Genomic DNA, 14881 nt, shown 5'->3' on the forward strand with positions numbered 1-14881 from the left:
CCTCAAAGCTGTGCACATTCTAATCTCTGGAACCTGTGAATGTGTTACCTTACATGATGTATTGAGCAGGGTTCTCCAGAGAATCGGAACCAGCAAGTTCTCTCTCTCTTTCTCTCTTCTCTCTCTCTCTCTCACTACATCTATATATAAACACACACAGATATGTATATGTAATGTATATGTATGTGTTTGTGTTGTGTGTATTTGTGTATACATATAAAGATTTATTATAAGAATTGGCTCATGCAATTATGGAGGCTGAGAAGTTTCACAATCTATCATCTGCAAGCTGGAAAACCAGGAAAGCTAGTGGTATAATTCCATTTGAGTCTGTGGGCCTGAGAATCAGATGAGGGGTTCCTAGTGTAACTCCCAAAGTCTGAAGGTCTGAGAACCAGGAGCTCCAATGTCTGAGGGTAGGAACAGATGGATTCCGCCTCAAGAAGAAAGAGAGTAAACTCATCCTTCCTCTGTCTTTTTTTTTTTTGGTGTGTGTGTGTGTGTCGGGGGGGGGGGGTTATTTTGTTTTGCTTTGTTTTGTTTTTGTATTCAGGCCCTCAGAGGATTGGATGATATCCACCTACATTGGTGAGGGTGGATCTTCTTTACTGGGTCTACAAATTCAAATACAAATCTCTTTCGCAAACACCTTTACAGGCACACCCAGAAATAAAATTTTATCAGCTATCTGGGCATCCCTTAACCTAGTCAGGTTGACATATAAATTCAACCATCTCACAGGGCAAAGGAATTCTGCAGATGTGATTAAGTGAAGAATTTTGACATAGGCAGATTATCCTGGATTATTCAAATGTCCCTAATGTCATCACAATGGTCTTTGTAAGAGGGAGGCAGGATCAGTCAGAGGGAGAAAATGTAAGGATGGAAGCAGAGGTCAGGAAGGAGAAATGATGATACACTACTGGCTTTAAACGTGGAGAGTGAGGCATTGAGGCTAGGAATGTAGGTGTCCTCTAGAAGCTGGAAAAAGTAAGAAAAATGATCCTCTCCCAGAGGCTCCAGAAGGAATGTAGCGCTATAGACATCTCAATTTTAGCCCACTGAAATGGATTTTGGACTTCTGACCTTCAGAAATGCAAGATAAATTCCTGTTGTTTCAAGCCACTAAATTTGCGATAATTTGTTATAGGAGCAATAGGAAACAAATACACTACCCCATTCTTCAAGCAACTGAAATTTTTCAAGATATTGCTATCACTTACATTGATTTTATATATATATCTTCTGTATGTTAGATGCTAAAGGAAATGCCACTTTTAAATAGCTTTATTTTCTACTCTCCCGATAGTCATTAAATTGAGGAGTTTGAGGAGGACCCTAGCGGTCTCAGTTAATACAATTTACTTGATTAATTCAACTGGGAAACAATAGAGGATATAGATGATAAAAATAATTATAGCTGTGGAAGACAGAATGGGAAGGGTGATACTGAAATCTTAATTCTTTCAAGAAAAAAAAATCTGATAGAAGATGGTACCAAAACTAGAGGAAACTAATTTGATAGTGCAATTATTTTTGTACATGTGAATTGTTCCCATGGATGGTGATTAAGGCCATAATGTCCATTTTAACTTTGGATACTAAAAACTTTTCTTACCAAAATTCCTTGAAATTTTCACATGATTGAAATTTGTTTGACAGAAGACATGCAGCTGATCTTAGAGAACATTTCTTGTGTAGTTAATTCCCAAGAAATAAAATTAATCTAAAACAAATCATTTTACATTAAAATTGACATAACAAAGTAAATTGCTTTAAAGCAGTGGAAGGATGACTGAATAGGAGACAGAAGTGTATTTTGACTAAAGAGCAAGCCCACGTAGATTAAATATAATTTCTTTATTATAAAAAAGGAACTTCATAAGCAGGAACTTCATAAGCATATCAGCATCTTTTGTGCTTTTTAATAATTTTTTTATGGTTAAATTTTAATTTATTTGGTGAAAACACCAGTGGAAGCACCATTTCTCTTGCATGCTCTCAATTTCCTCAGCTCCCTTGGGCCTCAGAGTAGTGACTTAATAAAAATGTAAGCACCTGGTGTCTTAGCCAAAGGCCCTCTGTAGGGAGGGAACTAGAGCTTTGGGGGAACTAGAGCTTTGGGGAAGCAGTTGGTTCCGGAATCTGATTGTGTGGAGTTGAATCTCGCTCTGCCATTTTCTAATTGTGCACCACTGGGCAAATCTCTTCACTGTAATGGGTCCTTTTTTCTTCACATTTAAAATAAGGACATAAAATCAATATTTCCCTCACAGATTACATATCTTGATATGTAACGACTTAATGTACTCTTGGGCACATGATCAACATTCAATAAACCAGAGATATTGTCCTCATTCAAGTATTGTTGTCAAGTCTTCTGTAGATATTTCAAAACTGCTGCACCAGTTTCTCCCCTCATTGATTCTCCTGTTGTGCCATAGTACTATTTACAGCAGCGAAAGCCATTGTCCCTTGTTCAGCCTTGCTTGATCCATCTGAAATTGTCCTGTTCTTCCCTCTTTAAATATCTTATAATCTCCTTTTATTCATCAAAGTGTAATTAGATGAAGTCTGAATTCTTTACCTTTGTTCTGAAACAAGCTTGTGTTTGTTTGTATGCTTAACTAGAATGTCTTTCAACCAATGTTAGACATATTACATTTGTGATCTCAAATCTCAAATCGGATGTTGCCGCTATCCAGCATGTCTACTAAACTCCTCAGTGTGTTCACTTTCTCATTCGCCAAAATGACAAATACATGCCTGCTTTCCTACTCAAACATCCTATACCAAACTCTCCTTTCCCCCCTTCCTAGCTTATAAACTTGGGCCATTTTAAAAAACACACATTTAGAAGCTACCCCAGTCTTCTTTCTATGAAATCTACCGATCCATTTGTGTCCCTAGCACACTTTCAGCTTTTCATCCTGTGAATACTCACTAAGGTATGTTGACTGCTGAGAGGAAATGCTCAGCGTCTCAGTGGCTTCTCCCATGATAGTTTGCTTATCGCTCACTTGAAGTCCATGCATCTGTTCCTGGTCATGTAGCTTTCCTGGACAGCTTCTCTTCAAGCAATGCTTTAGAGATTCAGATCACTTTCTTGATATGAGGTCATCTGCAACATGTGGCTTCTGTGATCACCATAGAGGCAAAAGATGGTGGAGAAGGCATAACTGCTTCAGCTCAGAAGTGACACTTTCTTTCTTTATTCCCTCTGTGGGAATCAATCTCATGGCCCTACCTGGGAGAAAGACAGCTGTAAACAATAGTTGTCTGATGGGGAAGAGGAGCTGCCTTGGTTGCATGGTCAGTCACATTATGAATGAATTCTTGTTCGTATAAAATGCAACTCCTTCTTCACTCGAGTTCTGTGCTCTATTCTCACTCAACTTATTGGACCTCCGTTCTGGAAATTATTACTTCTCCTGTTGAGCAATTTCTCTTCTTCTATTAGATCATTACTATTAGTATATAAACATGCTCTAATATCACCTACCATAAAAGACAAAAACATTGAAAAAGAACCCTTTTTTGGTCCCTTTTTCCTTTCCAACTACCACCTAATTTTTTAATAGCACTCAAACATCTTCAAACATAATCCCATTTCAATGTGCTTTCTGTTTCTTGGTAGTACACTAACTTATAGAAAAATTTGGTTTGGTAGAAACCAGCTTTTAACTTTTCCCCTCGTTCTCACTTGGCTACATTTTAGAACTTACCTTTTTTCCCCATTTTGTCTCTGATTTCCATTGTAATTTCCTTACCTGTAAGAATAAATGAATGTCTGTTTTTATCTTCATAATAAATTATACCTTTTAATAGTTAAGAAATAAGAATTTCATAGGAATCCTTCAATATTTCTGCTAGAATAAATGTTATATTCATTTGTTTTCATTTAAACAAATCAAAAAAAGTAAAACAAATAAATGACTAATTTTTATCTTCTTAAGCTAACTTTGGTGTGTACATGTGATATGGTTTGGCTGTGTCCTCACCCAAATCTCATCTTGAATGGTAGTTCCCATAATCCCCACATGTTCTGAGAGGACCTGGTGGGAGGTAATTGAATCATGGGAGCGGTTACCCTCATGCTGTTCTCATGATAGTGAGTGAGTTCTCATGAGTTCTTATGATTATATAAAGGACTTTTCCCCCTTTTGCTCAGCACTTTTCCACGTTGTTGGCATGTGAAGAAGGACGTGTTTGCTTTCCCTTCCACCATGTAAGTTTCCTGAGGCTTCTCCAGCCATGCTGAACTGTGAGTCAATTAAACCTCTTTCCTTTATAAATTACCCAGTCTCGGGTATGCCTTTATTAGCAGTGTGAGAACAGACTAATTACAACATGGTACACTGGACCTTTGGCCTCTCCATTTCTTCCTGCTCCTCCCACACTGGCCAGCATGCTGCCCTTTTGCATGTTTAGTAAGTGACATATTGAAGAAGGAAATGTACTGACTATTTGCTTCTTGTTGGCAAGACTAATAAAAGTCACTCTAGTAAAATTGTGATGCATTTGCCTAAAATGAGGCTTTCTGGATTACAAGCAGATTTCATTTATCATAATATCCCTGTCCTCCATAACCATGAGTAACATAATTGACTCTGATTTAATCCTCTATTTCAAATATGCAGGTCATTCCAGAGTTAAACTCCTGTAAGTAAGAAAAATGAATATTGCTGTAATTGAATAGCTAAATTGGCAGAGCATTCAACATGAGATAAATTAGGAAGAAATTGACAGTAAGAACTATCTTTTCCCTGACACCAGAAGCACAACATGAAGAAAGCCAATTAAATCGAACATCTCATCAACCCATTAACAAGTGTAGAATTACACTTTAGGGTTTATTTTTCCAACGCAACACTTCATTTAAAGCACAGTGTTAGGGAACTGGAGATATATTTTTAAATACACACACACATATGTGTGTGCATATATATCTATATTTTAACTTATAATAAACATACATGTATCTATATTTTAACTTGACAGTCTAAATAATTTGTTACTATTCAGCTTGGAGATTTAAAACAAATTAAGCCAAGCTATAAAAATATTATCCATGATATACCAGATAAGGGTAGCACACTACAACCTTCCATTATACATTAATAACATGTTGATCTCTGACCATACCAGAGTTAAAACCAACTGGGAATCTGAGTGACTTTAAATAGGACATGCACTCTTTTACACCCTCAAATTTCATTCATTTATATTCTCTGACCCCTGAAGTTGTTTGAGTTTATACTATCTGTTTCAGATAATTCAGGTCTTCATGAAATAATTCAAAGCCCCATCTGCTATTTCTTTGGCAGGGGTTGGGCGTCAATTGAAACTACCACAGTTCCTCACCTAACCCACCTGAGGTGTAATTTTAATAGCCAAAAGACGAGAGCAAAGTATTATGTACTAGAGCATGGCTTAGAAATAAAAGGACCTGAGGGAAGAAAAAAGAAAACATAGCGAAAGTTTAATTCCGTTCTTTGAACTCTTCCAGACTAAACAAGACAGAACAAACTCCCTTTTCCCTTGATAAAAAGGTAAATAGTATAATTAAACACTTATCCAAAGAAAAGTGTTTATATAAAATATAAAATACTTATCCAAAGAAAATATAAAATCCTATTTACTTATCTGTTTCTAAGTTCTAGGTATCATCCTTACCACTGAAGCTATAAAGACAAGCAAGACTCTCATTCATTCAGTCATCATTCAATCATTTACACATATGTATTTACTATGACTAGGGTTTTGGGTAGCATAGTGAGCAAAACCAGAAATGGATCCTGCCTTTGTGAAGTATACAGTCCCTAGGGCTTTGGGAGGCTGGGGTGAGGGAATGACTTTAGGCCAGGAGTTTGAGACCAGCCTGGGCAACATAGTGAGACCCATGTCTCTAAAAAATATTTTAAAAACTTAGCTGGGCATGGTGGTGCATGCCTGCAGTCCTAATTGAAAGGAGTCAGTCAGCTTGCTTTAGGCAAATAGGAAGGAAGGGGTTCCCGGAGAACCTCCAACCTGTGTTTTGTGCAAATAAGGCAACCTGCACAGGAGCTTGCCTAAACATGCCCACGGCCGACTAAGGTCCTGTATGTGCACTGGGGGAATGGGGTGGTGACACCAGGAATTCGCGCCTTATACAAATAGGGAATCCAGCCCCATTGGCTTATATGTAAAAGCCCTTGTATTCAACTGTTAAGGAGGTAACAAGGACCCTGCTTTCAGGTCCCCACTCTTTGCTGACAGCTTTACTTTCACTTAATAAACTCTACTCCAGGACCGGGTACAGTGACTCACGCCTGTAATCCCACCACTTTGGGAGGATGAGGCGGGCAGATCACAAAATCAGGAGATCGAGACCATCCTGGCTAACATGGTGAAACCCCGTCTCTACTAAAAATACAAAATATTAGCCAGGTGTGGTGGTGGGTGCCTGTAGTACCAGCTACTCAGGAGGCTGAGGTAGGAGAATTGGAAGGCGATTGAACCTGGGAGGCAGAGGTTGCCATGAGCCGAGATTGCACCACTGCACTCCAGCCTGAGCGACAGAGCGAGTCTCTGTCTCAAAATAAATAAAGAAATAAAATAAAATAAATAAACTCTACTCCACTCACTCTCCGGTGTCCGTGTGCCTAATTTTTCCTGGTTGTGAGACAAGAACCTGCACCTAGCTGAGCTAAGGAGTAAAATATCCTGCATAATTTCTACTTGAGAGGCTAAGGCAGGAGGATCGCTTGAGCCCAAGAGTTCAAGGTTGCAGTGAGCTATGCTTATAGCACTGTACTCCAGCCTGGCTGAACAAGCAAGACCCCTATGCAAAAAATAACAATAATAATAATAAGTGTACAGTCTAGCTTGTGAACTGTATCTAGGTGATACAAGTGAAATTAACATATGCAATGAAATAAATGCTCAAGTGGTGGTCAAATGAAAGTCTATAATAGGGAGATTTGACTCAGGGAAGTCAGAAAATGTCTTCCCTGAGAAAGTGATACTTGAGCTGAGAGTTCAAGGATAAACAGGCATTGAGTAGATAAAGCCAGGTATTTTTGATGAATAGACATTGGCAGGTTGAGCTCAGAATTTGGATCTCCATCATTAGATTAACAGGAAATAATTGCTAGAATTTAAACATAAGTAATAGTGAAGTTTTTTATTTTCAGAAAGAATACTCTGAGTGAAATGTTGAGAATAGTCAGAGTATCTGCAGCCAACCTGGTTAGAATGCTATAGATTCAGTCTATATAAGAGATGGCTATTGCTTGGACTTTGGTGGAGATAACAGAAGTGAGGATTCAGAAGGTAAAATCTAAATTTTGTGATAGGGTGAAGTGGGAAAAGGTGAGTGAGAGAGAAGAGCCAAGAATGATAGCTGGTTTCCAACTTTTTCAGCAGAAGCTCTTGTTTCTGTTCTTTGAGATGGGCAGTGCTGGAATCGGACTAGGATTTTTCTTGGAGGAGGCTGAGCTCATAAATGTGTTCTTTTGGACATATTTAAACATATTCTCAAAGATCCGAGTCTGATGAGGGACACAGATAAACCTACACGTACAGTAAAATGCCACAGATGCTACAGTGGAGGTGTGTGAGAGGTGTGTGCTCACAGAACAGGAATGAAAAGCTTATTCTCCAGGCGTGGACAAGGCCTTTAGTGAGAGTAGCACCTGATCTAGGATTTCAAGGGTAAGCTGGAGCTTTCCAGGTGGATAAATGGGTATAGGGTTAAGGATGTAAAAGAAGACTTAAAAGGCTGTGAAAATAGTGCACGTTGGGCAATAAAAAGAATACAGAAATGGAACTACTTGATGTGTTCCAAAATTATGACACGTTCCACACGTCTGAAGGAGTTTTGAAGGAATAGCAGGATATGAGGCTGAACATGTATGAGATATTAAAGTCTTTAAATTTGTGATGACTATGATTTATATCCAAACTGCTCTGCTTTTTAGGGTGAAAGTGAAAGCTATAAGTAATTTTGACAAGATAGTCAGTGTGAACTGAGACTGTCTGGGGAAAACTGGGATGTGAAGCTACTCTACACTCTGAAAGTGACTGATTCCCAGAAGCCATGGGGAGCTGTCGGAGATCTTTTAAGCAGGGCAGGGAAGCAACTGGATGAAAATTTTAGGAAGGTCACGTCACTGAGATACCTCTGTGCAAGTGGATACAGAATTGGCTTGGTCCTTTTAAGATCTAAATGATTATTATATAAATAAACCTTTTTATCATGTGGCTATCACATACTTTCTCAGGTTCTATTTATTGTGATGCAACCAAAATTAACACTTGTTTAGGCCGGGTGTGGTGGCTCACGCCTGTAATCCCAGCACTTAGGGAGGCTGAGGTGGGTGGATCACGTGAGGTCAGGAGTTCGAGATGAGCCCGGCCAACATAGTGAAACCCCATCTCTACTAAAACTACGAAAATTAGCCAGGTGTGGTGGCAGGTGCCTGTAGTCCCAGCTACTTGGGAGGCTGAGGCAGAACAATTGCTTGAACCCGGGAGGCAGATATTGCAGTGAGCCAAGATTGCACCACTGCACTCCAGCCTGGGCAACAGAGTGAGACTTTCTCTCCAAAAACAAAACAAAACAAAACAAAAAAACTTGTTTATTGTTTAAAGTGGCAAGATCATTTATTAAGGCATTTGAACATTAAGAACAAATGTGTATGTAAACTTGCATAAATCTTAGTCAGATATCTGGAGAGGACAACACAGTTTTAACCTACTTTGGGGTTCTATAGCCATCTGCCACTCTCCATTGTGGTCCAGGCTAATCTATGTTTTCTAGTCCTTCTTCATAAGCACCTTTTGCCTAGTTGCAGGGCAAGCTTTCATATGTCTTGAATACCTGTGATTCTTACCCCATTGTTCTCTCCATAATCTGCGTTCTACCACTATTCTGGTATATTGTAGCATCACAATGATGCTGTTTTGCTCTGTGTGTTAGCCAGAGGCTGGGGAGGGTAGAAAGGACTGCCAAGCAGGGAGGGTAGAAAGGACTGCCAAGCAGAGAAAGAAACATGAATCAGAACCAGCTAATACAGGATGGGAGAGTACATGTGCCATTATCAAACACACAGAGGAGTGAATAAGAAGCAAAGGTAGCAGATATTAAGAACTAAGCTTTGGAGATATTGATATACTTTGAGTCCAGAGAAGGAGCTAAGATGAGAAGCTGGGGGAGTCCGTGTTGTGGAAAAGGGCATAGTTGGGTTGGCGTGTGCATTCATTCTCAGTTTCTGCCCTGACAGAATGTTTGCACGTTTTTGCAAGTCCTTAAATTCTTCAATTTCATTCAAACTGTGTCCCTCAGTCAAGGTGCCTCCAGGGACCTTGGCCACCCCCTTGATTGCGCCATGAAAACATCCCCCCTTTTACCTTTGCCAGCTGTTTTCTCCCGCTAACTCTACTCTTTATTGCCTCTCTCACCCCTGATCTGTCATCTCTATTGCTCTAGTCTATCAATTGCCAAGTCTATATTTAACCACAGGTAAGCACCTCTTCTAACTGATAGTCATTTAAAAAAGCATTTTGCAGCATTTCTATACCATGCCTTATAATTGTTACGCAATTTGTTTTTCATGCCTCTCAAAGGACGAATCCTATTTTCCATGATAGCATATTTTACTATCCCCACAAAAAGAGAATGAAGCAATTTGATTTGAACATTTAGAAGCTTTTCCTTCTTCTTAAAATTCCCCAGTATCATTACCATTAATTTAATTACTCTACCTTTCTTGTTTCAAAAAAAAAAAAAAAAAAGAGAAAGAGGTGTTTTCCATTCTAAAGTTTAGTCACCTGCTTGTGCTTTAGCTACTCTGGACCTATATCCACCAAACATTCTCCTTTTTTTCTATTAAATCTTAAACTTTGCTTTGCCCCTGGCTCTGTACCAAGCTGTTCGAGTTTTCTCCCTCCTTTCCTCTGTACACAGGCACAAAAACTTCCCTTGATTTTAGCAAGCTTCCCTTTGAGGTCATCACCTTTTCTTTCCCTTTAACCACCTGCTTTCTTACAACAGTTTTACATAATGTCTTCTCTTTTCTCTCCTTAGAAAATCAACATAACAGAAATATTTTCCCTTCTAGCATGCTCCTCATTTTAACTGCACGTTCTCATTATATCAGCAAGTAAGATTGTTCATATCTTTTCCGTTTGTTCTTCCCATGTTTTCAGGGCTTTGGTGTCTCTCCTCACTGAAGTGGGAATTGTCATGATAAAATATGACAATATAGATAGCATTTGAGTTAAAGAGGAAGGAAACATATGGGTAGTTGACAACACACATATGTCACTTACGCCAGGACCACACTGGAGAAGCCAGTTCTCTCAACTACGGTCACTGGTTTTATACAAGATCAAGCTAATTCTTTTTTAGGTGGGTTTGGGAAATGACTTTGAGCAAATGTATTTATTCTCAGTGTATTTTCAACAGATAGTTTTGTTCCAAAAAATAATCTTGTGGCTGTTCTTCTAGACAAAGCAGAATCACTAATAGGTATTTGAAGGTCTGATCTGCCCACGGCATAAGCATACAGCTGTTGGGCCAACAGGTCTGTAGTTAGTAAATGAGGCAAAGGTCAACTGAAATGTCTTTTATGTAGTATCTAAGCCTGGAAAGCACCCGGACAGAACAAAGAAGACCCGTTAGCACAGCAGCAATCCCAAGTGGGGATGAGTCCAAGGGCTCCGGACTTATTCCCTGAGACGCTAAGGCTCAACTTCTGTACTTATTTTTCTTCTTATTTGAAAAGCCTCAGTGACTCGTCATTCTCTGTTTTTAATCTTTTGCCACAGGGGAGAAGCTCCTTTAAAAATATATATATATTATATATATATATATACACACACATATATAATTTTTGAGAAAAAAATATATATACACATTTTTGAGGAAAAAATATAATACATATGTATTTTTTGAGGAAAAATATGTATACATATATATTTTTTGAGGAAAAGTATGTATACATATATATTTTTTGAGGAAAAAGTATATATACATATATATTTTTTGAGACGGAGTTATAATTGTTACTTGATTTGTTTTTCATGCCTCTCAAAGGCACCTAATCTGCCTGAAGTGTAATTTTAATACCTTTAATACTCTTCAAGCAATGCTTTAGAGATTCAGATCATTTTCTTGATGTGAGGTCATCTGCAGCATGTGGCTTCTGTGGTCACCACAGAGGCAAAAGATGGTGGAGGAGGCATAACTGCTTCAGCTCAGAAATGACACTTTATTTTTTTGTTCCTTTTGTGGGAATCAATCTCATGGCCCTACCTGGAAGAAAGACAGCGTAAACAATTGTTCTCTTTTTCTTTTTTTTTTTTTTTTTTTGAGACAGAGTCTCGCTCCGTCACCCAGGCTGGAGTGCAGTGGCATGATCTTTGTCACTACAACTTCTGCCTCCCAGGTTCAAACAATTCTCCTGCCTCAGCCTCGCAAGTAGCTGGGGTTACAGGTGCCGGCCACCACGCCCAGCTAGTTTTTGTATTTTTGTGTGTGTGTGTGTGTGTGTGTTTCTATTTTTATTTGTTTCAAGGAATTTAACATTTTTAAAACTTTTTTCATTTTTAAAAATATGGATCACTTCATGAATTTGCACTTCTCCTTGCAGGGGTCATGCTAATCTTCTCCATCATTTCCACTTTAGGATATTGCCACGGTTTCTACGGGACTGAACAAAGGGGGACCCACACAGGAATGAAAACTTAAAACAAAAGTAAGTATTTTAAAGGAAGGGGCCAGGGGAAGAAGAAGAGCACTCGCAGCTTCCAGTGAGCATGAACAGCACCTGAGCTTCCACAGCCCTTCCTATTTGTTGAGTAGAATGAGCAGGGAGGAGGAGGTAATGATTGCTCAGCTGCTTAATTGATCACAGGTTCATATTATTACTAAGAGGCTTCAGATGTGCCCTGTAGATAATCACAAGAAACACTTGTGCCTGGGTCGTGACTGCCTCAGCATTCCTTCTGGGCGGTAGACGCAGTTTGTCAGTTTACCAGTTTGCCAACGTTCTGCTTTTCTGAGAACAGTTTGCTGTTTACTCATATACCCTCCAGTGGTATACTGAGTTGATCACAACCCTCACTTTCTGCAGCAGCCACTAAGGAAGGCGCAGAGGGACTTCCTTTCGGCCCGAAACAGTATCTGTGCTGCCAAAGTGAGTATGGAATTTTAAATTTTCATTCTTAATCTCTTCCTTCACCCACTGGTCATTCAGGAGCATGTTGTTTAATTTCCACGTATTTGTATAGTTTCAAATGTTCCTCTTGTTATTGCTTTCTAGTTTTGTTGCACTGTGGTCAGATAAGATACCTGGTATGATTTTGATTTTTAAAACATTGTAGAGACATGTTTTGTGTCTTTTTTTTTTTTTTTTTTTTTTGTATTTGTTGATCATTCTTGGGTGTTTCGCGGAGACGGGGATGTGGCAGGGTCATAGGATAATAGTGGAGGGAAGGTCAGCAGATAAACACGTGAACAAAGGTCTCTGGTTTTCCTAGGCAGAGGTCCCCGTGGCCTTTGGCCCTGTTTGTGTCCCCGGGTATTTGAGATTAGGGAGTGGTGATGACTCTTAAGGAGCATGCTGCCTTCAAGCATGTGTTTAACAAAGCACATCTTGCACCGCCCTTAATCCATTTAATGCTGAGTGGACACAGCACATGTTTCAGAGAGCACGGGGTTGCGGGTAAGGTTATAGATTAACAGCATCCCAAGGCAGAAGAATTTTTCTTAGTACAGAACAAAATGGAGTCTCTTATGTCTACTTCTTTCTACACAGACACAGTAACAATCTGATCTCTCTTTCTTTTCCCCACATTTCTCCCTTTTCTTTTCTCCCCCTTTTCTTTTTGACAAAACTGCCATCGTCATACTGGCCCGTTCTCGATGGTCGCTGTCTCTTTGGAGCTGTTGGGTACACCTGCAGAAAGGCTGTCACTTCACACTTGGAAGATTGCACAGCGGCCAGGCAGAGGCGCTCCTCACTTCCCAGACGGGGTGGCGGCGGGGCAGAGGCGCTCCTCGCATCCCAGACGGGGCAGCCGGGCAGAGGTGCCCCTCACTTCCCAGACGGGGCAGCCGGGCAGAGGCCCCCCTCACTTCCCAGACGGGGCGGCCAGGCAGAGGCGCTCCTCACTTCCCAGACGGGGTGGCGGCCGGGCAGAGGCTGTAATCTTAACACTTTGGGAGGCCAAGGCAGGTGGCTGGGAGGTGGAGGTTGTAGCGAGCCGAGATCACGCCACTGTACTCCAGCCTGGGCAACACTGAGCACTGAGTGAGGAGACTCCGTCTGCAATCCCAGCACCTTGGGAGGCCGAGGCGGGCAGACCACTCGAGGTCAGGAGCTGGAGACCAGCCCGGTCAACACCGCGAAACCCCGTCTCCACCAAAAATACAAAAACCAGTCAGGCGTGGCGGCGCGTGCCTGCAATCCCAGGCACTTGGCAGGCCGAGGCAGGAGAATCACGGGAGCCCGAGGCAGGGAGGTTGCAGCGAGCTGAGATCAGGGCAGTACAGTCCAGCCTCGGCAACAGAGGGAGACCAAAGAAAGAAAGAGGGGGAGGGGGAGTTTTTGTATTTTTAGTAGAGAGGGGGTTTCACTATGTTGGCCAGGCTTGTCTTGAACTCCTGACCTCAGGTGATCCGCCTGCCTCAGCCTCCCAAAGTGCTGGGATTACAGACGTGAGCCACTGGGCCCAGCCTAGAAATTCTATTTTATTGTATATATTTAAGGCACGCAGCATGACGTTACAGGATACATACAGACAGTAAAATGGTTGCCATCGTGAGGCAAATTAACACATCTACCATCTCAGATAATTACACCTAATTTTTTGTGTGTGGCAAGAGCAGCTAAAATCTACTCATTTAGCAGGAATCCCACATACCATACAATTTTAACTGTAGCCCTCATCTTGTGCCATAGATCTCTAGACTCTCTCATCCTAGTAGCTGCTACTTTGTATCCTCTGACCTAAGTGTCCCTATTTCCTCCTCACTACCCTGTCCACTGTTTTATTCTCTGTCTCTGTGTATTTGACTTTTTTTAAAAAGAAAGATCCCACTTAGAAGTAAAATCATGCAGTATTTTTCTTTCTGTGGCTGGCTTATTTTACTTAGCGTAATCCTTAGCGTATACTTTCTCTCTTCTCTTTACTGCCTCTCCTGTGAAGAAAGGCCTCCTGTAACTTGCAGTAAAAGATTTTAAGAGTATCATTAAGAAAATTTGTTATTGCCTCCAAAAAGTTTAGGATATCAGGGTAGTAAGACTCCTAGAACTATAAAAGGTTGATTTCTTATTCTATTTTACTAAAGGTTATTCAAATAATTAAAGTAGCTGGGAAGAAGTTTTTGGTGAAAAACCCCAATTCACTTATCTCCTGTAGATAATAGTTTTGTCATTTCCCTTAAAACGTTACAGAACTCATTCAATACATTCCAATTGCTTTTTCTTCCTAGCAAGATATCATAACACTGGCTTTTTTTTTTTGGATGGGAACCCCTTTGATGATCACCCTGTGTACACTTTTCATTTAGAAAATAATTCATTGAAAACATTTTCTAGGGTCAGGCCCAGCGCTGCTCTTCTTTCTGTGTTCTTATACTAGGAGAATTTGCCAACTCCCCAAATTTCAAATTCCATGGTCGCCTAAGAATATGATCCTAACCTTCATATTTTAGATAATTTGCACTTTTATGTAATTTTTTTCTCCATAGGATCAATATGTGTAAAATGAGACAATATTCTTCCTTGATCAGTGGGGATTACAAAATGATAAATTGTGATTCTTAATGAGAACATTGATTGAAACCTTTTAGTAAAGATATTTATTAAAAATATTTACTCCTGGCTGGGTG

At 40.1% G+C, this 14881-nt stretch overlaps 1 long non-coding RNA gene and 1 pseudogene across 2 annotated transcripts in view; one reads left to right on the plus strand and one right to left on the minus strand.

Annotated features, from left to right (window-relative positions):
- The first annotated feature begins 8984 nt into the window (after window positions 1-8984).
- Window positions 8985-14881, plus strand: part of LOC105373220 (uncharacterized) — a 121907-nt gene continuing 116010 nt past the window's right edge. Inside the window, exons 1-3 of one of the 2 annotated variants that reach the window (XR_949308.3) lie at window positions 8985-9116; window positions 11673-11741; window positions 12120-12182. This is a non-coding gene — a long non-coding RNA (uncharacterized LOC105373220). The remainder of the gene's footprint in view (window positions 9117-11672; window positions 11742-12119; window positions 12183-14881) is intronic. The other variant, XR_949311.3, reaches the window with a different exon arrangement.
- On the minus strand, window positions 11595-11696 carry RNU6-725P (RNA, U6 small nuclear 725, pseudogene; annotated as a pseudogene).

The sequence above is a fragment of the Homo sapiens genome, chromosome 1 (genome assembly GCF_000001405.40).
Source record: "Homo sapiens chromosome 1, GRCh38.p14 Primary Assembly".
Classification (NCBI taxonomy): domain Eukaryota; kingdom Metazoa; phylum Chordata; class Mammalia; order Primates; family Hominidae; genus Homo; species Homo sapiens.